At 35.3% G+C, this 27,105-nt stretch overlaps 1 protein-coding gene across 4 annotated transcripts in view; it reads right to left on the bottom strand.

The window, feature by feature from the left end:
* The window catches only part of ALCAM (activated leukocyte cell adhesion molecule), a 209,992-nt gene that overhangs the window by 37,951 nt on the left and 144,936 nt on the right, over positions 1 to 27,105 (bottom strand). For 3 of the 4 annotated variants that reach the window (NM_001627.4, NM_001243280.2, NM_001243281.2), the window contains exons 2-6: positions 18,783 to 18,883; positions 14,442 to 14,661; positions 6,884 to 6,948; positions 5,260 to 5,347; positions 4,105 to 4,287 (exon numbers count right to left, since the gene is read on the bottom strand). In NM_001627.4, the coding sequence (NP_001618.2) occupies positions 4,105 to 4,287; positions 5,260 to 5,347; positions 6,884 to 6,948; positions 14,442 to 14,661; positions 18,783 to 18,883 (657 nt within the window). Of the gene's footprint in view, positions 1 to 4,104; positions 4,288 to 5,259; positions 5,348 to 6,883; positions 6,949 to 13,562; positions 14,662 to 18,782; positions 18,884 to 27,105 lie in introns of those variants that run through there. The other variant, NM_001243283.2, reaches the window with a different exon arrangement.

The following is a 27,105-nucleotide window of genomic DNA, read 5'->3' as shown; positions in this document are numbered from 1 at the left end:
TTCTATAGATAAAGTGCAGATAAAAAAACTTAGAAGTTTGTTATAGATTGTTTCTTTGCCTTTTCTCTATGCTTGGGCATCTCTGAATACTTGTCCAGTACATTCTGAGGTTAAACGGTGATTGATTTAATACATTTCTTATTTGTTTTTCTGGATTTGCCTGAAGTAGTTTCCTAACCAGCAGTTTCCGGTGAGGTTGAAAAGTAAATAAAATCTGGTTTTGGTGCCCTGCTGACCTTCCGTTTCCGGGCCTCTCTTGCTTTTCTTACTTGGCCCTTCTCTGACTAGTGCTCATGTTTGGCCTGTGGCATGTCACTGTGGCACATCTCTGATCAAGGTTGACACAACAGAACAGCCAGGGATGGCAATCTCTGACTTCCTTCTCTATTTTAAAACTCCCCTTCTCTGTGTTCCCTTTTCAATAGGCTCCGCTTTGTATTAGAGAGTCATCAAAGGGTTAATGTAACACATTTGCGTTTTGACAGTAACTCTCTGCATGTCCACTAACGTGTTTACCTCAAAGTTAAGGATCCCTTGCTCTGCGTTTGCCCCTGACTTTGAATTTTACTCTGCCCACTAGTAAATCATCATTTTGCCCATTGCCCTGGCTTTCTCCTTTGCCCTCTCTTATCCATTCAGTCACCATGTCTTGATGATTAATACTTTACAATATATTTTGGGTCTGATTCTCCCCTTCTATTCTCACTAACACTTCCCTAGTCCATGTCCTAATTAACCTAAACTTGAAGCAATGCCATCAAATTTCACTTGGTTCCTCACCTTGAGTCTCCTTCCTTTTGATCCTTTCATATATATTTCCTCTGAATCTGTTTTCTGAAGTAGCGCTTTGAATATTACAATGATACTCAAAATCTGTTACACATTCCCAACATATGAAGATTAAAAATAAAAATTCCTTAGCCTGGTATCCACAATTTGGCTTGAACCCAGCTCAAGTGAGAGTCTTCTCTCTTACTCTGCTACATAAACCCCTACAAAATAACCAAAACTGTCTGCTGAAATTTTCTTTTCATGTATTTATTTATCCTACAGTCCTTCTTCATTTATTCATTTGTTTGGCATCTATATTGTGCAAGCCTTAAGTGCTGGAATTAGGAAGTTGAAAACCCTGCCTCAATGAACTTTTCCTCTATTTGTAAAGACACCAAACTTAATAATTAAGAGTATGACCACATAAAACCTGCATATGACACAAGCATAGGGATCCTGGTAGCCATCATTACATGAGACTAGGAAGCTTCCTGGAGGAACTGACCCTGGAGCTGGGTTTTGACACATAAATGGGTATTTGCTAAATGATAAAGGTGGGAAAATGACAGCATATGCATAGGCATGTAAGTATTACTCTACAGAAGGAATCTGGAAAGTAGAACAGACCACAGTGGATACAGGCAGTGATGAGGGTTGAGACATACTGTAGGACCATGGCTAAAACGAACTCAAGGCATACTGCAATTGGGGGAGGGGGAAGGATATTAATCTGAGAGCTCTGGGGAGTCACTGAGAAGTTTTTGTCACATTTGTGTTTTAGAAAAATATTTCTGGCAGCAGTTTGGAGGGCAGTTTATTTGGGGGTGAACAGAGAATGGTGGGCAGACAAGAGAAATACTATTTTGCAATTCATTGGAAAAATACTACTTTGAAATCCATCGCAGGAATAGAGGCAATGAGGAATGGTGGCATAAACGTAGGCAGTGTCAGAAGGCAGAAATCAGATCAAAACAAAGATTAAAGAGCTAGATTCTCTAAAACCTCGTTACTGATTGAATAGGGTAAGAAAGGAGTGGACTGGTGCATTTTTCTCAAGCTTTCTCAAGATGAATTGGCCAATTTTTTTTTCTTGAAATGGACTCGTCTCTCCTTTCCATTTAGCACTCTTCTTCTGTTCTCTGAAGTCTTCCTAGAGCAGTGGTTCTCCACTCGTAGTCCTCAGATCAGCAGCATTAGCACCATCAGGGAATTTGTTACAAATGCAGAGTGTCAATCACCGTCCTATACCCACTAAATCAGAAACTCAAGGCCAGGGTGCAGTAATCTGTGCTCTAACAAGTCCTTCATGTTCTTCTGATTTACACTACAGTTTGAGAACCACTGTCCTTGGGCACCTGAGCCCTCAAGACTCTTAATACTGAGTTCCTAAGACTTTTACCCTTACAACCTTGCATTGGCAATTTCCTTCTGATGTAGGTGTCTTGTTTCTCTACTGGAGTAGTACACTCCTTGAATGTGAGGACTGTCTTAAACTGCTTCTTTGTGCTTCGTGTTTTCACCATGAAGCCCACTGTGGCTTCTTAAAAGCCATGACAAGTGCACCTTACACAGCCAGCATGATAAAATCATTTTCTTCGTATCCATTCAAGAACTTCTCCGTCTACCCAACTCTGCATGCCTCATACTCACAGATATTTCTATTCTTTCTGAAGCCAATTTCCCAATTCTTATTACTTATCTTGATGTTCTCTCCTGTGTTGTACACCTACACTTACACTAATATGGTTTATTTCCAATTGAATATTTCTAACAGAAAGAATTCTGGGCCGGGCTTGGTGGCTCACACCTGTAATCCCAGTACTTTGGGAGGCTGAGGTGGGCAGATCACCTGAGGTCAGGAGTTCGAGACCAACCTGACCAACATGGTGGAACCCCACCTCTACTAAAAATACAAAAATCAGCAGGGTGTGGTGGCATGCGCTTCTAATCCCAGCTACTTGGGAGGCTGAGGCAGGAGAAGCACTTGAATTCAAGAGGTGGAGGTTGCAGTAAGCTGAGATTACGCCACTGCACTCTGGCCTGGGCAACAGAGTGAGACTATGTCTCACACAAAAAAAAAAAAAAGAAAGAAAGAATTCTGCCTTCACCTAAAAAAGTTTGATTTTAGATAAGCTATACATAATGAAATATTAATTTCTTGGGTTTAAATCAAGTTGAAACTTATTTCCCAAGTTTAAGGCAAAACTACCTTTTAATATTAGGGCAACTTTGGAAGAATTTCACTTTTGTTCTCATATAAGATATTGTGCCCTAGGGAACCAAAAAAAGAAATGTAGGTGAGGTGATTCTTTCGAAAGGCTCAGCAGGCATTCCTGGCTTTTCTCTAAAATAGATGTAGAAGTGCTAGGTTACTGTAGAACACATGCCAGTATCACAAAAATTTTAGATAAATTAATAATAAGAAGAAAATCCTTTATTGCATTTTCCCCCCAAATATCTTCAGCTCTATGTTTATATTGTGATAATGACCATATAATAATAATAATAAAGTACTTAATAATGACAATTTAATGTGTGATGTAGCATGCTATTTTTGATTTGTGATTTCACTTACTCTCTATAACAACACTATCAGTTAGGTATTATATTTTTCCCATTTTAAAGTAAGAAAACTGAGATGTAGAGTAATTAAGCTACTTTTCAAGAAATGGTAATTGATAATGCTGGGACTAGAATTCCAGAATTTTTGCTTCTAATCATTAGATTATCTTGGCACCTGTCTTACAAGGAAAGCACAGCAATGGAGAAAAAGATTCTATTCTAATATCTACAGCTAATTTAGGGCAAGACTCTGTGCCTCACTTTACTAACTAAAATAATGAAGTTAGAACAGATGACCATGAAGATTCCTTTGTAGACAAATACTCTGTTTCAAATACACAATTTAGTTAAGTAAAATGTCTTGTAATACAACATCCTATCAAACTTATGCAATTGATCTTATTATTAAAATAAATTTCTTCATTAAAATGGTAATCTCTTATTTAGAAAGCCAGTTAAAGTCTATATTTGTCTGTCATTCATCCAGAAAATAAGTTATAGATCTTATCTTTAAAGAACTTAGTGTGTAGTGGAATTCAGAAGAGACACTCATAGATAAAATGTAGAGAGTGAAAGATATTATAGGATGGATAAATGTTTATTCATGCTATGGTCTCCTAAAGAGGAAGAGATTATTTGGGTGCCATCAATTTGGGGTGCAGACTGGAAGCAGAATTCAAAGAGTAATTGGATTGGGACCTCAAAGATTAATAGCATTTGAATATTATTTCTAATACATTAAATAGCATAATTATATATTGAATTACTTACAGTAAATATCAAATACTGCCTGTTCAGAATGAATTGTTTTCTGGCCAGATGGTCCATAATATGTCACCGAGCAGGTGAATGGCATTTGTATGTCAGCCTTGGTTGTCTTGTACTCCAGGGTGGAAGTCATGGTATAGAGCTGAGTCACTGGGTCCATTTCCTTTTTAAAAATTATGACCACCGCTGAAGAAAATAAAGAACACTGATGATAGGGTCTTTCATCTGACAATCACAATCCTTAACGAAACAGCACCACACCTTTGAGAAGTGTTTTTTTTCCTTCTAACTGTATTCAGCAGGAGAGAAAATTGACATGTAGTGAGGTTAGATGTCGTTTCAAAACCGTGAATCAGAGACACAGAAATAGAATCCTGGAATCCCTTTTCCCACTCACTTAATTAACTTCTAGATCATGCCATATACAGAAATTATTTCCTCTGCTCTTGATTCTTCTGTACAAGGGCTGAAAATGATGTTTAAAAAATCATGTATTAATTTAGTACATACTTAAAGTAACAGAGCATAAGAGTCATAGCTCAAAAGAGGGCAACATATTTAGATCCTGAATAGTTTAAAGCGGGGGTCTCCAACCTCCAGGACTGGTATGGGTGCAAACAGCAGGAGGTGAGCGGTGGGCAACCACAAGAAGCTTCTTTTGTATTTACAGCCACTCCCCATGGCTCACATTACTGACTGAGCTCCTTCTCCTGTCAGATCAGTTGTGGAATTACGTTCTTACAGGAATGCAAATCCTGCTGTGAACTGCACATATGAGGGATCTAGGTTGCATACTTGTTATGAGAATCTGATGCCTGATGATCTGTCACTGTGTCCCATCACCCCTAGATGGGACTGTCTAGTTCCAGAAAAACAAGCTCTGGGCTCTCACTGATTCTACATTATGGTGAGTTGCATAATTATTTTGTTATATATCACTATGTAATAATAATAGAAATAAAGTACACAATAAACCTAATGCCTGTGAATCACCCTGAAACCATCCCCCCACCCTGATCCAAAGAAAAATTGTCTTCCATGAAACCAGTTCCTGGTGCCAAAAAGGTTGGAGACCACTGGTTTAAAGAATACCTAGAACAAAGAAAGTCAGAACAGGTCCTCTGAATGTACTCCCTGTCCTCCTGCCCTCACACCCACCTCCTTCAAGGGGATGTAGCACTTTTCCATTCCTGTACCATGTGATATTGCCATCTGGATAACTGTCTTCTGAAATGCAGTCACCCAACTGCAAAATAAAAAGGCAATGTTATTACCTTGGTTCAATCAGGGGCTGTCAATTTGGAAACTCCAGAAACTCAGGCAATGCAGAGTTATTCCAAGGGTTTCTTGACCCGTTTATTTTCCAACACTGACCAAAGACTGAATACATGCTCTCTGGTATAAAAACAATGTCTTTTTAAGACCTTTTTAACAATTTATTTGAAAATATACTTTTGACGATTTTTAAATGTGCAATAGATGGTGTCACTATTATAAAATCACATTCATTTGAAAGCATTGCCAAATTCATTTTGACACTATTCATTTTTAACATTAACCAAATAACATTACTCTATTAACACTGACTATTACCATGAATCATAGATCTTCATACGGAAGAATAATTTGGTGTTAAAATGGGGCTGTGTCTCCAGTTTCATACTACATATATTTCAAGAGGATATACATTATCATGCTCTATAATTCCCCTCACTTTCTTTAAATGTATTTTAACTTTAATATTTGGTATTCATCAAATAATTTTATGCAGTAAAATTTAATATGACACAAAGAATGTAGGACTTGGGTTTCCATCTCCCAACAAAGGAAAACTTTGGTATTTTAGTTACATTATTATTCAATATGGAACTCCAACTTTGTCCCCCACTTTAATACAGCTTCCCTTCACATATCTGCTAATGTGTTGTTCGAATCTGATCTCACCTCTTTACTTCAATCTTTCAGTAGCATAATTTGCCAACAGAATAAAGTCCAAACTCCCTATTTAGTATGTAAGATTTGTCATGATCCAACTTTTCTTTGCCTCTCCAGATTCATCTCTTTCTATCCTTTCTTGTTTTCTGTCTTGGCACCCAGTTTCATCAATGCCAAAATTTGCTGTTTCCCAAACACACCGTTCTCTTTCACATCCTATTATTTCATATTGTTGGAAAGCCATTTCTACCTTTGGCTTGGTGAAAATCTATTCATCTTTCATCATTCTCTCTATATATTTTTTCTACACAGGGTCTGGCTCTGTCGTCCACAATGGAATGCAATGGTGCAAACATGGCTCACTGCAGCTTTGACCTCCTAGGCTCAAGCAGTCCTCCTTACCAAGCATCAGCCTACCAAGCAGCTGGGACCACAGGCATGTACCGCTATGCCCAGCTAACTTTTAAATATTTTTTATAAACAAGGTCTTGCCATGCTGTACATTCCTGGGCTCAAGTGATCCTCCCACCTTAACCTCCCAAACTGTTGGGCTTACAGGCATGAATCATGCTAACTGGCTTCATCCTTCTATTAAACAATCCATTAATTCAAATGAGAAAGACTCCTCTTTTCAGAAATGACCCCACCTTCCTTGATGTCCTCATGGTTACCTGAGACTGTGAGCATGTTGTACCCTCTGTGCCTTGTAGATAATTTCTGATTGGTAGCTGCAACACTGTCATCTCCACAAGAGCAAAGCCTTTCTTACTTGTCTTGGAATGTAAGGTCAGAAGAAGGCACTTACAACACTGGCTAAATAAAGGTATTAATCAAAAACAATTCTTACCTTTTTTAGCTGCTCTGTTTCGAGAAACAGTGCTTTGCTTACAATTTCAGGTTTAGATGGTTGCTCTAAAGTTAAGCAGAGAAAGATTTTAAGTACATATGTAAGAAAAACGGGACTTCTGTGATTTGATTCACAGCAAAAACAATTCATTTACTCAATACAGAAGAATAAGCAACAGAATAAAAATAGATTTCGTTATACAATCTGGATTTGGGGAATCTATAGGTCTACCCCTTCAAATATTTATTATCTTAAATATTATTTTCAGTGCTTGTAATTCCTTTGAATAAAATATAAATAATGCTTTCTGAATGCTTTATAAATAGTGAATATGGATTTGATAGTGAAACAGGGGCTAATGTCCTATATAGGATATATTGTCTCTAATTGATTACCATGAGCACTTCTTACTTATCAGTAACTTCCAGCTCATTAACTGAAGACATTAATTTACATGAACCAGAATCACAAAGATACTTGTTTAAAATTCAGATTTCTGAGCCCTATTTGGCCTACTGAATCAGAATTCCTGAAAAAAAAAAATCCCATAACTCTACATTTTAAACAAGTTTCTAGGGGATTCTCAGTCACCATAAAGTTTGAGAAACACTGTTCTAAAATCATGGGAAATAGAAAGCAAGTTAAGGAATTTATAAACCCAAATTTCTGAAATATCTCTAACTTTACCTCTTAAGCCAAGTCACAATATGAAAGTGTAAATGTGAGAAAATCTTTCAAATGTGGAACCTGAGATGATGGACAAAAACATTTTAAATATAGGTAGTTCTAAGAAACATAAATTTTAATAAAGACTTCAGGAGCAATTGATTAAAAGTTGCAGCAACAATTTATTATTTAAACTGATTTTAAGTTATTTTATTCTTAGCTGCTATTTTCTATCAATGATGGATTTTGCGCTTTTTAAATAGCTCCAACAATTAGTTTACACAAAAAGTATATTGCCTCATTGTCACTGATGTTTGTGAGTCTCATGGACCAAAATTATTCTATTTTCTTATAAGCAAATGTATTTAAACAATCAGCTACTTTTTCTTTTATAGTCTTATTGTTTACCACCTAATACTTTTAATTTTGATTACCAAACTAAACTAAATTGGCTTTTGTATAATTATTACTCAATTTGGAATTCAGTTATTAGACATGTTACCTCCCTAGATCATTATAGAAAACAGGGAAAATGACAAAATGTCTCTGCGGTAGCAAAATGGATATCTTTAGATTATATGAGAAACAAATGTAACCTTCTTTAGGTTAATATCTAGAGTTAATTTCCCCTCATAAATATGCTTTACATGAGATATTAGAATAATGAACAAAAACAATAAATCCTCCCATGTGTTGAACTCATGCTCTTTAATTATAAGAGGGCCTACTTAACTATTAATTCTAGAAATATAATTCCACAAATACAATTTTCACAATGATGATTTCTAGTTTCCAAAGACACTGATTGGGAACAAAACATAAGCAAGATAGAACAATAGAAAAAATAAATATAGAAAAATAGGAAGACACAACAGAGAAAATTAACATTAACACAAACTAGAAGTGACACTTGACTACCTGATTGGTAGGATAGTGACCATAAAATGATAAAAAGTTGACCAAGAAAAAAAAGCTTCTCAAAATAGACACCAGTTTCTGGGAAACATATTGTGTGGGGGTTAAAGCCTTTCACGTAAGAGTAAACCTTGACATTATCACTATTTTAATAGAATGTTATTAATGTTCATAATTGGAACTCTGATTTATTGATGAAACACTGAATCTTATTTGGAATCCACGTTTTAAAAAGGCAAATATCTAATACATTTGAGAGAAGAATGCATCTGAAATATTTAAACAAAAAGAAAATTCTTGGGGTGTAAGTAAGTCAAAGTTTTCTGGAAACTGAAATCAGTTATTTAGTGACACCCTCTCTGAGAGCTCAATAGATGTAATACATGCAGTTAATTTACGTGGCCAATGAAGAGTCAAAATGAACAGAAAAAAAAGGTCAAAACATTCTTAGTTTCTCCTTCAAGAGTACTATGCCTGGAATATGTGATGATATTTGACAATTCTCCCCATAAATTTAGGTTCTAAATAGACAGATTTGGTGGGTCGCTTTGCCAAGTTTCACTACTTTCCAGTTCACCAAAGTAAAATATCCAGACTGTTGTGCACATACTCTTTCTCTAATAGAAAATGTATAACTTTACTTTGCTTTGTAAACCCTGTAATGTTTTATCAATGCACCCATAATCATAAACACTTTGTATTTCAGTGTTTGGTCCTTTACTCATGGTCATGTGTGTTTTGTTGCCATAAATGCTTTATAAAATTCCTTATTTTTTCAATGAAATGAAACTGTAGCAAACCTAAGGAAACCTGATGAAAGGATGTTTAAAGCTTAATCCTGTTTACATTATGATTCGTCTTTCTATTTGGAAAAGAGGGTCACAGTGAGTATTGTGAATGTAATGGTAATACTTATTTCATTTTCCTGAGTTATTTTCTCCTTAAAGGTTTGTTTTGAGTCCTCTATATTAACTATGTATCTTGAATGTAATTTTCTTTTATATTAGGTTGTGACAATTGATGAGTATTAGTTGGAGGACCATAAAAGAGGACATGCACTATTTTAGCAAAATTGCATATTGATTCCAAAGTGTTAAAAAATAGTCTATGTGAATTATATCTTAACATGATTCAAAGATTCATAACCAAGTATAGAATTGAAGGGAAAAGCAATGCTACAAATTTACTTGCATCATTAAAGTAATTTAGTCAAGGGCAATGATTTAAGCCAAATTTTGCTTCTGAGTCTTCTTGGCTAAGTTTCTCTAAATCATTCAACTGAATATTTATCAAATGGAAAAATCATGCCTTTGTTTATTTTCTTTTTTTGCTGACCTGGCTATCTTAAGTAGTTAGAAGCTATATTATAATAGGGCCACACTATGGTAGCTTAAAATTATAGAATAGGGAGATTAAAAATATCTTACAGTGTTTATTCTAAATCTGATAGTATTTTACAAGGTGTGTGTGTGTGTGCGTGTGCACGCATGTGTGTGTTGGAGACAGGGGCAGCTGATATTCATGGCAACATGTAGTATGTGCCAGTATCTTGAACAATGATATATAATGCTAAGACTCAAATGGTTTCGGTTTGTAATACTTTTGTTTTAAGCTCAGGGGTACAAATGCAGGTTTGTTACATAGGTAAAGTTATGTCATGGGGGTTTTTGTACAGATTATTTCATCACCTAGGCATTAAGCCTAGTACCTATTAGTTATTTTTCCTGATTCTCTCCCTCTTCCTACCCTCCTCCCTCTGAAAGGCCCCAGTGTGTGTTGTTCTCCTCTATGTGCCCATGTGTTCTCATCATTTAGCTCCCACTTATAAGTGAGAACATGCAGTATTTGGTTTCTGTTCCTGTGTTAGCTTGCTATGGATAGTGGCTTTCAACCAAGTAAATTGTAGGGCTTTCACTAATACCCATTAAGGGCTGATCATATATAGTGAAAAGTTAAGCTACATGTAATATTTAGTGTCAATTAAAACATTTCATAAATAGTGCCCTTACTTTTCCCTCTACTTTTCTTTTTGTTTTATATCATCTGCAGTTATACAGGAGATTTTATAGCTGGAGAAGAAATTGTGGTAAGGGGCTGGGGAGTGGTCAGAAAGAAATATACTGAAATAGACAGCTCCTTTTGTTCTAATACCCAGACTATTGCTAGTAAGAGCTATGAACATTAGCCTTCAAAGAATCTAAAAATCAGCAACCTACTAAAATGTATATTTTTTGGCATGTAGCCAGCTCACAGCAAGGTGAGAATGTAGTGAAGACGGCACAACTGCTCTGTATGACTCACAGTGTTCTAGTATTACTATAAAAACCCACACATAGGATAGCTCAATTTAATAAGAGAGGAGAGCAAGTGAAGGCAGATGCAAATGGTCGTGTTGACTCAAAACGGCTCCTCCCAGTACTTTGTCAGCAATCACCCCTCATAAATCATGAAGTACTTTAAGCCAACTACTGTGAGCAAAAGGTATCTTTTATATTTAAATAATCAAAATGAAATATCTGGTGTAGATCTCATTGTTAAACAGAACATTTTCTGCTTCCTCCCCCCTCAATGCCCCCCAAAATTTTACTTTTAGGTTGAATGACTTTTAGGAGGAGGGTGAAAGCAAAGACACTTAATTTTGATAAAGCAGTCAGAACAGTATCCAAGTGGGAGGAATCCAAATAAAAGCTCTGAAGTACCTCTGTGTGAAGCCACTAAACATGGCCTATCATCATCATAAGACCTGGTCCATATGTACCACAGAGCAGACTCTATGTCTGCAATACCACAGAGCAGCACCAGAGTAGACTAGACTTGCAATTAGCACAGGGTGTGGTTTTCAAATTTTTTTTAGAGCTGGAGCAACTCCTCTGTTTTCTTTTTTTTTTCATGAACAAATTATCATGAAAAACTTTGAAATGTTGAAATAGACTGAAGCCTCACTAATCAAGTAGAAATAGCTCCTTACCTTCCTCAACTGTCTTCATTAACTCATGAACAAGATCCTAGCATCAGAATGGGAAAACCTCCCGTCTCATCCAAAGTATTCATTTTACTGATGAGGAGTGAATCTTAGCCCCAGACTGGTGAGGTGACTTGCCCAAAGTCAGAAATTAGCAGCAGATCTCATAAAGTAAGTTCTCCTGGTGACCCGCTCAGTGACTGCTCCATCTCACCAACAGCCTTCTGGCTCTCTGGGTACCCATTTGACTTCTAGACCTTTTTCACAATCACTAGAACGAATCTTTGGGCACCTTTAAAGGCTGACACTTGCTTCTGAATGGTTTTATTAACCTCAAATGTGCACTAAATAAAAACACAGTTTGATTTTGATGCCATTCAACTAAAAGAAAAAAGCTGATTAGTGGTGACTAAGAATGCCACTTATTTGGATTTGGGCTGATTCATAGGTATGATTTCTTGCATATGAGGAATAGCTTAAAATTAAACAAGCAAACCTGCATTAAAGATAGCAAGGTCATTTGCCAGGGGCTGTAGTTAGAATAAAAACAATTTGACTTAGCTCATGAGGATGGCAATCAGCAGCAGCCTGATCTGAGACTGGCTCCCATTAACCACACTTGATTCTATGGTACACGGTGCACGTTGCTAAGTGATTCAACAGAGGGAAACAGAGGACTGATTGATGGGCTTAGTAACTCTTAAGTGACTGCAATATACACATGCAGAGAATGAAAGTCTCCCTGTCACAGCTGCTTTTTGCTTCACAGAAAGTGACCCAAAGTAAATTCATTGAAAACAAAACAAAACAAAAAAACAAACCAAAGCCCCTATATGTTTTTTGTAAACATTGTCTTTATCATAAGCTTTGCTGTTCATTTTACTGGATTTGGAGGGTCTCACGATTTCTAGCATAAAACACCATTTTCAAGAGTGTGTAACTTGTCTATGTAAATTCTCCCTGGCCCACAGCCTGGAATGCAAATTCTGTTTCTGAGAATCACTTTGTTTTCAACAACATCAAAAAGAGAAGGGAGTAGGGGGGTGTTGGCGGTAGGTGGGGTGTGAGTTTGTTTTCACAATAATAGAAATTCCCTGTATTCCAAATCAGCTGATAAATTTTATTGAATTAGGCCAGCTGAATTTTTTTCAGATTTCTGAAAAAATCAGATTTGGCCTGATTTACAGGTATGATTTCTTGCATATGAGGAATAGCTTAATGTTTTTTTTTTTTTTTTACAAAATGTTTTGAAAACTGTCACAAATAATTCTTCCAAATGAAACAAACTGAATTTTCTCAACTCCCTTGTATATTACCATCTCAGTGTAGGAAAATTTTAACACCTTAAAAATGAAACCTGACAATGACAAATTAATACATATAACCATTAGAGTGCTGTGACTTAACCTCTGTAGCTACTGTGGTCCATTTTTGATGTCTGGTTATATTATGACATTATAACTATCACCAAAAAACTTTTTGATTACTCGCTTTAGAAAAGTGTCCTGAGCAGTGCACTATTCATCTTTCTAATAACATGAAAGTGAAATAGAAGAAAAGAAAAAAATACATGGGCCACTGGCAAATGCAGGATGCAGACTATTTGGGATGTTTTATGGAAACAGGCATGACTGCAAACACTTGGTTTGCACTTGGTTTGATTCATACAACGATCGAGAAGTGTGGATGGTTTCTGGAAAGTGCCTTCTAAGCTGAAAGGTAATCAACTGAAACATGTAATATGCTCTTACAAGGTTCTTCTAGGGAACAAAGGTTTCCTTTGATAGTATAAGCATGCTTTGAATCTGCATCATGAGCCCATAGGAGCTTTGAAGTCCGTATAAATACTTGAGGGACAGACCTACTTAGTTGCATAGGCTATTACAAGAGAAACAGGAAAAATCCATAGTTACTTGCTGTAGTTGGAAGGCCCTCTGGGTTTCCTTCTTCCCTATTTATTTTAATAATTTCTAAGCGCTGTCAAGTTATCAGAAAGCAGAGGGGAAAAAGTTGTAAAGTGAAACCTTCTTCCCTAATTAAAAAAGACTGAAAGACTGGCATTCTGAAACTTTTGAGACCTGTTTCGTTCCCTGTAGTGTCTAAAATATTGTGAAGTAATAGAGGCGGGACTTTTTATTTGAGTTTTAAAAGATGAAATACTTTAATTATAACTTCTCAAGTCATTCATTTGCACAGTTATTTGCACAGTAACATTAACTATATGCTATCATTAGGCAAAGTAATTTTGTCATAGTGACTATAATTATTCCAAGTTTCTTCTACAATTTTCTCTTCTTCCATCACTACTCTACTTTCTCCCCTTGGTGTATCCCACATAAGCATTCAGGGTATAGTGAGTTTTTTTAATTTTAGGACAATTTTCTAAAGCAAGTGAATACTTTTTGAAATCTAAATCAATAACCAGTCAATAAAGGTCAGGATGGAAATGTATCTATATCTCTAATATATATAATATATAAAATATTTGTATGTGGATATATATGGGATATTTATATATGTGGATATATATAAATGGAAAATTTATACCTCTGTTAAAATATAGTTTGAATTTGCTTATATTTTTTTATTATGCAGCAAAATGGCAATTTCATTTGGTTCAGCCAAATACATGTATATGTATGCGTGATATACATGATTACATATATATCATATATCTATGTATGTATCACACAACACTTATTTGTACATGTCAGTAAAAATTAAGATCACCTGCTAGTTATCAGTAGTAGTACTTCATAGCTCACGACATTTTTACATGACAAAGTAACAGAGAATATTATTTTAGTTCCTCACTGCAAATCTCCTATTTGAATTTCATACTCTTTGTTTTCTTTGCTGATAGTATATATGAGCAGAATGAAGATCTCTTTAAGTCCCCTTATATAGATACCTGCTATAGAGACACTACAGAGAGTTCAGTCTTCTTTCTAAAGAACATGGTCTGGTACTGGCCATCAATCCCACTTAGCAGTGACACTGCTGCAGACTACTTACTGAACACCTTGACTATTGTAGGTGCCTCAAACACGTTGTCCTCAGTTACTAGCATGCACACAAATCTCTTTTCATCACTGATCCTTGCATTACTGATAGACAAAGTGTAGTTTTCTGAGAGGTTCAATCTGTCTTTGTATTCTGGTACATCGTCGTACTGCACACTTTTCTTTGTAGAGGATCTGAAGGCAATAAATACTGGGGAGCCATCGGGCTTTTCCTAAAAATTAAAATAATAATACATTTAAACACAAGCATATTCAGATGTTTCAGGATTACATTCAAAATAACATTTCCTTGGCCATATTCTACCAATATCTATATTTTTTGTCTACGAAGAATAATTTTTATACAAGTCTCACGTAAATATTTGATTACAGAAAATCCTTCATAAGAGAGAAGCCATAATGAGTAAAAATGAAAGGGTAGAGCTCTAGGAATCAGATTTTTTTTTCATTGAGAAGATAGAATTATTAACTGTTTTGAAACTTACATGGGCTGCATATGTTTAATATAAAATAAAACATAAATAAATGCAAACAAAGGTACAAAATGATGTTCAGATAACCATCACGGCAGGTATACACTTGAGCTGCAAATACTGGTTTGGATATTTTGGGCAATTATCTTTGGAATATTCTTTATTTTAATCCACCTATTTTAAATGTCCACACCTCTAACCAAAACTGATGTAGCTGACCTTTATACATGGAATAGTTTAACCAGTCTTGATGGAGAAACAGTATTTACCCTTGTAAAATAATTATGTCCATTAAGGAATGAGTCAGATTAACTAATACAACCCATAGTTTTGCTGAGTCATAACAATGAGCTCAAAAGTCTTTCATACAAAAACATCACCAAAATAAGATGTACTCTGCATACACAATTATGCCAAGAGCACTGAGACATATAACGCATTTCTTCCTCTGGTCCCACAAAAATTCTCTCACCTAATAAGCAATTTAATGTAAAATCAGGGGCAGTCCCTCCTTTATGTACCCTACAAGACCTTTGAGAAAATTAAATGTGATATATGTTATAGTCCATGACAAATTTTAGGATTCTATGGAGGATTCAGTTTTAAGAATTAATAATATCAATTACTAAGTTGATATTGGAGTCCAAAAGTTTTATTTGCTTAAATATCTGAATACATCAACAATATTCTTCTTAACTGTTTTAATCACAGGTTTACAACGCAAATCCTCTTCTTAAGTCATTCCTTCATTATGCAAAGTATGTTAGACCACTACCTTATTCATCATCCCCTTATTCAATAAATAATAGTTACTAATTTTTGAGCACTTAACTTTATGGCAGGTGTTTTCTTTGGGCTTTCTTTTTTTTTTTTTTTTTTTTTTTTTTTGAGACGGAGTCTCGCTCTGTCGCCCAGGCTGGAGTGCAGTGGCACAACTTCGGCTCACTGCAAGCTCCGCCTCCCGGGTTCACGCCATTCTCCCGCCTCAGGCTCCAGAGTAGCTGGGACTACAGGCACGCGCCACCACGCCTGGCTAATTTTTTTGTATTTTTAGTAGAGACGGGGTTTCACCCTGTTAGCCAGGATAGTCTCGATCTCCTGACCTCGTGATCCGCCCGCCTCGGCCTCCCAAAGTGCTGGGATTACAGGCGTGAGCCACCGTGCCCGGCCTTCTTTGGGCTTTCTATGCAGTAATTGGTTTTAATATTCATAACAGCCTTATAAGTTAAACTTAAATATTAGCCTCATCTACAGACTAGACCATGGAGGTTGAGTTTGGTTAAGTAACTTTCCAAGGTCTTGGCTGGGAAATCTTAGCAGAGCAAAAATTTGAGCTTAGAGCTTGGCCTCATTATGGTTACACTGTACCACTCTTGATAGCCTTCAATCCCTCTTCTGCACCAGGCACTATGGCAGATAATGGTGAGGAGGTGTCAGGAGTAGGGTTGGGAGGAGTGAATAGGGAGCTGTAATCTCCATTCACAGGGAGTTTACAATATGATCCAGGAGAAATCAGGCCATTTCTTCTCTATGTTTACTTCGGCTCATTTTTCCAAAACTTTCCTTTGTCTTTTAGGTGGTTACATTAAATTAGAGCATTGCAAATGCTCTATTTTAGCATTTCTGCAATCAAGATTGACTTTAGAGCATATAGTGCCTCAAATGTATCTCAGTTTATTGCTGAAGCCTTTTGCTTAACTAAAAATTTGAAAATTGCCATTATTGTTTGATTTCTGCAAATCAAGATTGACTTTAGAGCATATAGTGCCTCAAATATATTTCAGTTTATTGCTGAAGACTTTTGCTGAACTAAAAATTTGAAAATTGCCATTATTGTTTGATTTCCAGTGCCACTGTGCCAGTTCAGTTTACTGAACTGTGTTACTCCCTGGGTTTACTAACTCCCACATTTCACTAACTGTGCTGCTCCCTGGGTGAATGCTACTCCCTGGGTTATAGTTAGAATTTTCTATGATCATCAAAGTTTGCCATCACCTGACTCCATTTGTTTTGGCAGCAAATTTGATTGAACAAGTGCATTGTGTGGTAGTCTCCCAGGCACTTGGAATTTTGTTGGCACTAATAGACTCTGTCCTCAGAGGCCTTAACTTCACATTTCCACATTTATAGGAAACCAGAAATAGTTCAAAGTTACCTCGAGTGAACTGGATACTAAATAGAAGGAGGCTACAGAGAAATGCTGTGCTGCCTTACCACCTTCCTTTCCTTTCCTTTCATTTCCCACTCACACGAGCATAGTATGGTTAGGATTCTGCAGCATCACAGACACGAGTTCACTTTGTTGAATGATTACTACACGACAAGTACTAGGTAAGTATTTTGATATCAATTTCTTCGGGTACTCTGACAACAACACTATGAGGAAGATATTTTTATCTCATTTTATGGATGAAAAAATAGGGATTAATTCCTCTGCCCAGAATCTCACAGTGAGCACATTGTGGAACCTGTTGATTTCAGAACCTATATTTTAAAAGACTGTGTTAAACCACCCCTTGAGTGCAAGCTTAAGCACATTTCTTACAGTGTGTTCTGCAGAATGTTTGTTCTTGGAGATATCTGAGGAAAAAAGTTGTGTGGTCAAATAAATCTAAGCAATGAATCAAACTATGACCCTCAGACAATTCTTAATGCATTTTACATATGAAAGACTCCGAGAAGTGATGCAATAAACTTTTTTTTTTTTTTTTTTTTTTTTTGAGACGGAGTCTCGCTCTGTCGCCCAGGCCGGACTGCGGACTGCAGTGGCGCAATCTCGGCTCACTGCAAGCTCCGCTTCCCGGGTTCACGCCATTCTCCTGCCTCAGCCTCCCGAGTAGCTGGGACTACAGGCGCCCGCCACCGCGCCCGGCTAATTTTTTGTATTTTTAGTAGAGACGGGGTTTCACCTTGTTAGCCAGGATGGTCTCGATCTCCTGACCTCATGATCCACCCGCCTCGGCCTCCCAAAGTGCTGGGATTACAGGCGTGAGCCACCGCGCCCGGCCGCAATAAACTTTTTGTAAAGTATTTGACCATCAAATTCTTTTCCTTTGCAAATACCTTTTAACATTTCAAGGAGCTAGGGAAATTTTGATATTGTGTCCAGGGAAACATATCTACTTGAAGCTTGCAGACTGTCATGAGTCTCCTGTGGTCCAGCATTGGGAAATTGTACCACACAAACACTTTGCATTAATATTGATTAATTAAATTGAGACATTTTATTACTCAAAGTTACATAGCCATTCCACATCTCCCTACCAGGATCTCTACCCTCCATTTTCAGACCCACTTGTACCTTCATACCTGAGAAGATTTGATTTTACTATCTGCAAGAAATATGGGAAAAAATCAACACCGTTAAATATAAAAAAGACCTATAGCATCAACACATTTTTAAGGCTAAATGCCAGAATCAAGCTTGTAATACTGATGATTAATTCCGAAAGACTGTCTAAGGCTCTATCTACTGATATATCTTGTCTTTGCAATAACCACATCAAGTAGAACATGAACAAATGAAGAAAGGTTGCCATCCTCCACTGAGGTCTGTCCTATAATCCACTGATTTATTCTGGAACTCTGCTTTTTTCTTTGCCTCTAACACTTAAGGTGGAATCTTTCAGACTAATACATTCTAAGAACTATGTGTTTATTGGCTTTATTTTAAAATATCATTTGTTATGTAAGATAGGAATTATTTTTTTGCCATATTCCACACAATTTTACCTTCCTACATTTGTACTCACAGTTTAATATTGCATTTAGGTTAATTTGAAATTCACAGTTACTCACAGAAAGAATTTTATTTAAAAGAACAAGGGCAATTAACCAAGTCCCAGGTAGGTCACACTTACATATTTCCATTTGCCAAACATGAGATTCTGAGGTACGTCAAGTCGGCAAGGTATGATAATGGTATCTCCATATGCTGAATTTACAGTATACCATCCAAGGCCTTTGGGGGAAAAAAAAAAAGGAAGAAGAGAGAAAGAGAGAGAGAACAAAATTTTAAATGCTTTCTTGAAATGACAAATAACTTCAAGATGCATGTCGATGAAGGTTGTCATCTGCTATAGTTTTATTTTAAATGGTATACAAAAGGTATGAGACTAGAATATATTTTCCATTTAAAAATTACCACCTTTCTATTTAGCTACTGAATGTTTGAATCCTTGACTATCACACAATCAAAATTTGCAGATCTCCAATTTTACTAGAGAACAGGTAAGTGGTGTATTCCAAAGGAACATCGTGGAATCTGCAGATGAATTATCTTCTTTACTGTATTTCATAGAAATAATTTCCACCATATTTTATAGAAATGTGGGACTACACAAAGACTAACATGATTAAAATTCTCAAAACTAGCTTTAACTATATTTGTGTTTTTCATTTGAAAATATTATCAAATTTTTCTTCTGTAAAATTCAAAAAACTATTAAAAACTGAGAATTAATACACATAAGACCACAACTGAATTTTATTTATAAGGGGAAAGTGGCTTATTTTGTAGTAGTATAAATTAAAATACTAATTTAATTTTGTATAAAATATTAGCATAGTAAGAATTTATAGTATGAACATGCTTCATAAAGTGCTATTTACAAAGTGATTATGTGAATTTTTGGAAGACAATATAATTTAAACCACAATTTTGTACATACAGAAAACTGCCTCATCTTATTTAATTCTATATTAAGAAAAAATATAAACAATAAAAAATTAAAATGTGGAAAGAAGCAATTTTTGCATATGAATGAAAAGCATTATTCAAATCTGGATATATTTATGAAGGTTAAAAAAACCCAGGCATTTAAATTGGTTATAGTACTTGGGAAACATTTCAATTTTTTAACCTTAGTTTATTTACAACAATCTTTAAAATTTAGAACTTACACAGCTGAATGTCTATTAAGGTGTATCATAATCGGGTATAGAGTGTGAAGGGGCTACTTTAAACAGTAGAGAAAAAAACAAATGATATTTTGTCCACCAGGTGGTGCTAAAATGCAAAGCGACGGCAATCTGCAACACATAAATAAAACCATCTTCTGACTTTCTGAAGAAACAGGACTGGGAGGATACCATCTTTCGACTGTTATCTATCAATCACCATGTATACCAAAATTTCATTTAAGGTTAAGAATTTTGCCCCAGTGAACAGAAACATAACAAAGAACACACACTTCATGTAAATATGCAACATAACAACTAGTTTTCAGCATTTTTAACATTGTTAAGACAGAATACCAAATATGCAAAGTGAGAATGCATTTTCATTTACTACTTGAGACATGAGGTTTACTTCAAATTGCTTATCATATGTTCAGTCTCATAATAAAAATTTATCTCTATAATTTTAAAATTGTTTTGTGTTCTCTATACTGCAATTATAATCCCTTTTAACATCAAACCAAGCATAAGACTGTAAATGAAGAAATTTTTTTATTCAACTTTGTTAAAATAAAAATAAAGGAGCTTTAGACAGGTGGCTGCAGACATGCAGACTAATAACATTTAGGAAATTGCTTTATTGCACATGACATTACTTGTTCTCTGTGATATTTGGCTCCTAAATGTGGAATTTCTGCTGTGTGTATTAAGTCTTGTTCATACACTTCACAGGTAGAGGTCTGCAAAGCCAAGGAAACCATTTTGTAATTTCATATTTTGTTTTTTCATCAGCTTATAACAAGGCACTTGAATATGTAATAATTTTGAGAGGATCCATCTCTATACCTTAATTTATGTCAGGGCATGCACCTGTAATTGTCTCCTATTATTTGAAATCATACCTTCCTTTGGCAACTAACAGTGTTTTCATGATTGGCCAAGGAGTGAAAACAGTTTACAGAGCTTAGGTACCAATGAAGTGAATCCTTTGCCAGGTAAAGGGAAATAAGAAAATTCCTTTTCCAAGAATTTAATGCTTTGCCCTTTCTCACAGACCATTTTTCTTTTCTCTTCTCTATAGAACTTTAATGTGCTACATATACATAATATTTTATAATGAGTCTTAAAGCTCTATGAATTTCAAATACATAGTGTATTGGCATGATGAAAGCACAATCAGAACAGGGAAGAGATCATGTATTTTTAAGCTTTGTATCTCCAGAAACAACGCCTAGCATCTAATGGGCACCTACTAAAATGACTCTGGAGTTCTTTCCATTTTGGTTATCAAACTAACATTTTGGAAAATCAGAGAGCAGTTGACAACACTGGAATTTTGAGAATTCTCATTTCTGCCACATACTCTAAAGCCATTCATATCTTATCTTGGATGTGTAGAGAACTTGGATTTTGATTTTGGGTGGCAAGCTCTGTCTTGAGGAGAAACAAACAGCAAACACATTTTATAGGAATTCACAGATGGAATGACAAGAGAGAACATTTTCCCTTCCCTTTAAAGAGAAATTAAAGATTGATTACTTGTGCTCCCTAATTTGCAAATGATATCATGAAATGTCCCTTTCTTCACTTGTGATGACCGTAAAGTAAAAGTTGTTTATTCAAGTATTGGAAATTCATGAATGGTGTCTTTTAATGACAGCTCCAAATCCAAATCCAAATCCTCAGCCAGGAAAGAACTTTGAAGAGCAGGACGAACACAAAGAAATAAGATACCACACTAGACAGAGGGCAGTAGGTAAAAAGCCAACAATTACAGACATAAGGCCTAGGGCAGAATGAGTGGCAGTAAGTTGGATGGCATGTTAGAAGCCATAATCGTGCTTATTTTAGAATCAATTTTCAAGTTTGCTATAATAATCAACTTCTCTCTTCTTGTGAGAGTATACTGACTCCCAAGTTCATCTGACAGAAGGACTGAAGGCTTGCATCTGTGGGAGAGCTAACATCTCGCGCCCCCTAGGGATAAAGTCGCTACAAAGACCATGGTGATTTGGTGATAAATTACGTCCTAATTTCTAGTGATATCTTAATCTTTGAGATGAAGTGCCAGTGAGACCCAAAGTACCTGTCAACTCGAATGATTCTGTTTACATTTTTCATAGAAGAAACAGCTTTTTATCTTTGAATTGCCAAGTCTAAAAATTGAGTTTAGCTTACTAGAATTCCCTTGCAATTTTCTCCCTGTAATATTTGTTAGTTAAATTATTCATGGTTTTGTAGCCTAGAGATTATCGGGCACTACTGGACATAGAGAATGCCTGTGACATCCTTCCTGAAAGAGGCTAAATGTCAAGTGTAAACCAATGTGGGAATGTATAAGTGTGTTCTGTATGTGTTATGGCTGTGTGTATAAGCACAGGTCAAAAGAAACTTTAAATTGGACTAGAACCTTCTGTATTAAATGTGTTTATAAATTTAAGACATTTTATGACTTATTATTACTGTTGCTATTAAAATGTCTTAACATACAATACGATATAAAATGTGTCATACTTGAGAAGCAGTGTGTAATTATTTAGGCATTTTTAAATAAAAGGTTATTAACCAAAGGTAAAGAACAATAGAATTACAAAGGTTACATAGAAGTATTAATGGAAATTCAATGCGGTGAGCACAGGAAAAGAAAAATCTCTTAAAGAAGTAATTCTGATATATAGAATCTCAGGCAAGTGACGATAAAATATAAGCTAGTTACAGTAATATGTTTTGTATAGAAAATGATTTAAAAGAGGCACTGAAAACAGACTCTGGTAATGTTTTGAAGTTAGGTAAACATTTTATTTCTAATTGAAATAATAAAAATGTAATTTTGGCCATTTTGGTGACAAATGCTTTTTTCCATAAAACTAACTGCCAAATTCAGAGGAATCATTCTCTTTGCATTCCTGACATATAGACATTTGAATTGAGGTAGATTAAAATTCAGAATCTGCTACCACATTTCAAGCAGAAGAACATCAAATAATACAGAAAATAGAATGAGAATTAGACAGTCTATTTTCACATGCTGTAATTTAGCCTGGTTAATTATTATTTATTGAACCAATACATTAATAGCATCATCATCCGTAAAAGAAGTTTTGAGCTCTAGCTCTGCTAAGTGTCATAAAAGGGTTAACTGCAACTACAATGGACTCAGAACTTATAAGAACTAAATGCCGGTTTCACAAAAATTTTACAGAGACTTATTTGAACAAATGAACTGTCCCTGAGGAGGCAGATAGAAATGAGAAGTTTATCCTTAGAAATTACTTTCATATTTTTTTACTAATTTTGACAGACATGCTAATGCTCCTATTTGTTTCACTAATGAATTAGGATATGTACAACTCTAAAGAAAATGCAAATATTTTGTAACACTAGTTTATAGCGGTGTTTCTCAACCTGGTCACTATTGGACCAAATAAGTCTTTATCGTGAGAGTGCTTTGCTGTGTATATTACAGGATGTTTAGCAGTAGCCTTGCCTCTACCCATTAGATGACAGCACCACTCTTCCCCCAGTTATGACAGCCAAAAAGTCTCCAGGCATGACAAATACCCATTGGGAGGCAAAATTGCCCACCAAACCTTATGCAAATCAGAATCACTTGTTTAAACCTTCAGCCATTGGTTTCTCACATGTGATTAAACTGGGTTTCCAATAAAGGAATTTTTGGAAAAATAGAATCTTAGCATAGGACTAAATAATCACTGAACACAAGCTAAGGGATAGAAGCAGAATGATACATGATAGTATCTGGTTATTATCAAATTTGTTTGCCACACAGAAACATATTAAATCACAATGAGGGATTAATTCCTGACTTCAGGAAGTGGATTCCCAATCTTTTTACAAAAATGACAAAGACTGATAAAATATCATAGTTCTACTGATAGAGTGAAAAAGGTATTTTTTTCAAACCTGAGATTTTATGATTCAATCACATGGAGTTATCTTATCTCTCAGCTTCTCCCATACTTTATTGTATAAACAAGAGTTTAAGATTCTCATCAAGGTCATGAGGTATATAAAGTAAGTTCTCTGTGTGTGCATTTGTGCATGTGTGTGTGTGTGAGATACAAAGGGCTATAACTGCCAAGTAATTTGGAAGGGATGCTGAGTTAGAGAAGTTACCTGATGAAATCTAATGTCATTTTGTGAAATAGAAAGAAGGGCTTTTTCTCGTTTCTTTTTCTTTGTTAATTTTCCTTCAACAAATGGGGGTAGTTAGAGGCCAATTTGGGTCTGCTGCATCTGAAGTAGGGATATGTTTATTCAAAATTCATTTTCTGCATTGCCTTTCTCAAGTGTTATACATTATAATGTAGATATAATTGAGTGAGGCCTACAAATAAGATAAATAGTAATTATTCCTTCCTCCTCCCCCCACCACTTGCCACTGTGGAATAATCTTCAGAGGGAAAATGCCCATGTTACTAAATTATAAACTACTAGTAGTACCCAGGATTATGTTTTAAGATAGGTACTCTTTATTTTACTTCCAAGTTTGATATAATTTAATGCTCTAAATATTTATCTTTTTATTAAACAATAAGCCAATATAATAATCCATATTATGTCATAGAAAAGAATTACACAAACAATAAAGTTTTAAAAATACACTATCGATATTTACATTGCTGTGCAGAAAATTACCTTCTTAATTTACCTTAGCCTGATAGTTTGTTATTCTACAAGCATGAAATGATCTATGGGGCTGGATACGTCACAGTTTCTCCCAATTAGTTTAGGCTTTACCCCATCTCTACCTAATTTTATGGTTCCTTGGCCCCATCTACTCTGTTCAGATTCCTATGTTTCCTTTAAGGCCTATCTCAAAAATCATCGAATCATTCAATCATGCATCAAATATTTATTGGACACCTGCTACAGGGCAAGTTTTAGGTGTGCTTTGTGAAGAAAATGTATAAGTAAAATACAGAGGCCTTTTCCTTAAGAAACAAGATGAAATCAGTGTGAGGTTTTGGGTTGGTAAACCAAATGCTGTGGGACTGTATAGAAAGGAATCCCAGCAATGAGATTGAGGATATTGGTAAAAGCTTCTTGGAGGAAATTTCATTTGACCTCATCACTGAATTGAGGTTTCTATAGATGGGAAGATAGGAACTACCTCAATAGCACAGTGCATGAGAAGCACTGAGTGACGCTTGGTTTTCTCTCTTTGGGCAAACTCAATTTTTATTATAACAATTTCTACAGAGTAGATCTTTGATCTTCATAAGGAACATGTCCTAAGACTGGCAGTTTTCCCAAATTCATAAGCGCACATAAAATTTCTCTAATAAAATGCAATAAAATGTTAGATCTCTATTTTCTCTTTACTTTCAGCATCAACACTAGCATTTGGATTCCTTTTGGGGCCATTTTTAAATTATAAGCAAAAATCTTATTTAGAAATGATCAAAAAGCAACAGAATTGACTGAAGTTGTGAAACCTTATTTTTATTTTTTGAGTTGCCTCATGAATTTTAAATCAGAATATATGCAGATTCTACTGCACTCATTAGCATTTCTTAACTTGAGATCCAGGAATGAACTTTAAGGCATCTACTATACTATTCTTTGAAATTTTAGGGAATACAGCTACAGGGTAGTGAGAGGGGAGCACTGTGGTGATTTGAGATTAGTGTTCCCCCAAAATTGTCCCCTCTTAAAATTGTCCCCCCAAAAGCTATTTTTGCTTTAAAAACATTTTAATGGAATATAATATAGATGGAAAAAAGTACACAGATCTAGACTTACATTTGAAATGTCACTAAAAGCACTGGGCTTTAGGGTTTCCTTGGCAATGATCCTCACATTCTTTTTTCTGAGCAGGAGACTGAGATTCCACATACTTGTCCACAATGAAACCCCTGTGTTACCAAGTCATCATTCCTAAATGATGAGTATTTTTGGCCAGGCTATGGGGTCTATGCCAACATGCTAAGTAAGGCACAGGCCCTTAAGTGGTGATAAACTTAAATAAAAAACATTTAAAAATACTTCATGCTCTGTATGCGTGGGAAGGGGGTGCTTTGGGGGGGATAGGCAGAAAGAATACAATGAACCAAAAAAATCTAGATTTTGTGTGTAAAAAGAACAATCGCCTCTATTTTGTTTTAAAGTAGATTTTCATAGTAAGGAGGACTAAACAGGAGAAATGTTTAAGTATGTTTTTCTTTATACTATATATTTTGCTCAAAAACATGTATGTAATTAATAATTTGTGTTAACTGAAGTTCCGAAAGTTGACTATTTCCTACTATTATACTTCTAATTAGGATTTGAGGCTGAGTCCTTAAGGTGCTCATATAAGTAGAGTCCTTCACTCAGATAATTAGTCAATACAATAAAAATAACTAGCAAAGTATGATTTTCCTTCTGCTCCCCTCTCCCCTGATTCATTTTCTCAATTTAATTCTTGCTAAAGAACTAAATTTTCTTCAATTTAGTCTAGATTCTGATCCTGTTGACTTCATTTGGGAACTAGCTTAACTGGAGATGTAGAAACTTATATTTGAAATATTAGTTATATTAATTCAGGCTAAGTAATGCAAAGGACAGATGAATATATTTAGATTCTATTGCTCTGTACATTTTCTGAGCATGAAAATCTAAGTTTAACTATTTCAGAGTATCAGTTCTACTTAAATGGAGAAAAATTACACTTTCCTGTGCATTTTACCACATAAGTTGTATTGAAATTATGAATACAATTCACCTATTTTAGCAAGAAGAAGAGTGTACTGCATTCGTAAAAACATTTCAACAGAAAGGCAGGCATAATGCTTCCCAAAGGATCTTAATTGAATCATCTGAAGTAATGGAAAATTTGGAGTTTAGAATGAAGTCTGTCTTCAGAAAGAACTCACAGTTATTGTGACATTATTAAATTTGTTTTCTGCAAATAGTTTAATGTCATGACAACAAAAAGATCTCTTGATTTGAGAAAATCAAAGCTATCTTTGATAACACTACCAAACTCCAAAACCAAAAGTTTCTAATGCTTTAATATCCCTCAAAATGCTTTAGAAAAAATATATCACAAAGACTTTTAGCCAATAAGATCATCATTGTTTTCACAGAAAGCATCTGTTAATAATAGCTTACATGAACTGTATTGCTTTAGCTTTTAAAGTAATATTCAATAGTATTAGAATTACAGACTTAGAAAATGCTGTGTTATAATTGAGGTAGTGAATTACCAGGGATAAAAAAGTGGATTATTAGGGCTACTAAATGAGCAGAGTAGTAGATTTCTGCTTCTGAATTGGTTGA

The sequence above is a fragment of the Homo sapiens genome, chromosome 3 (genome assembly GCF_000001405.40).
Source record: "Homo sapiens chromosome 3, GRCh38.p14 Primary Assembly".
Taxonomy (NCBI): Eukaryota; Metazoa; Chordata; class Mammalia; order Primates; family Hominidae; genus Homo; species Homo sapiens.
Note: the sequence above shows the minus strand (reverse complement) of the source record. Positions and strands in the feature narration are given on the sequence as shown.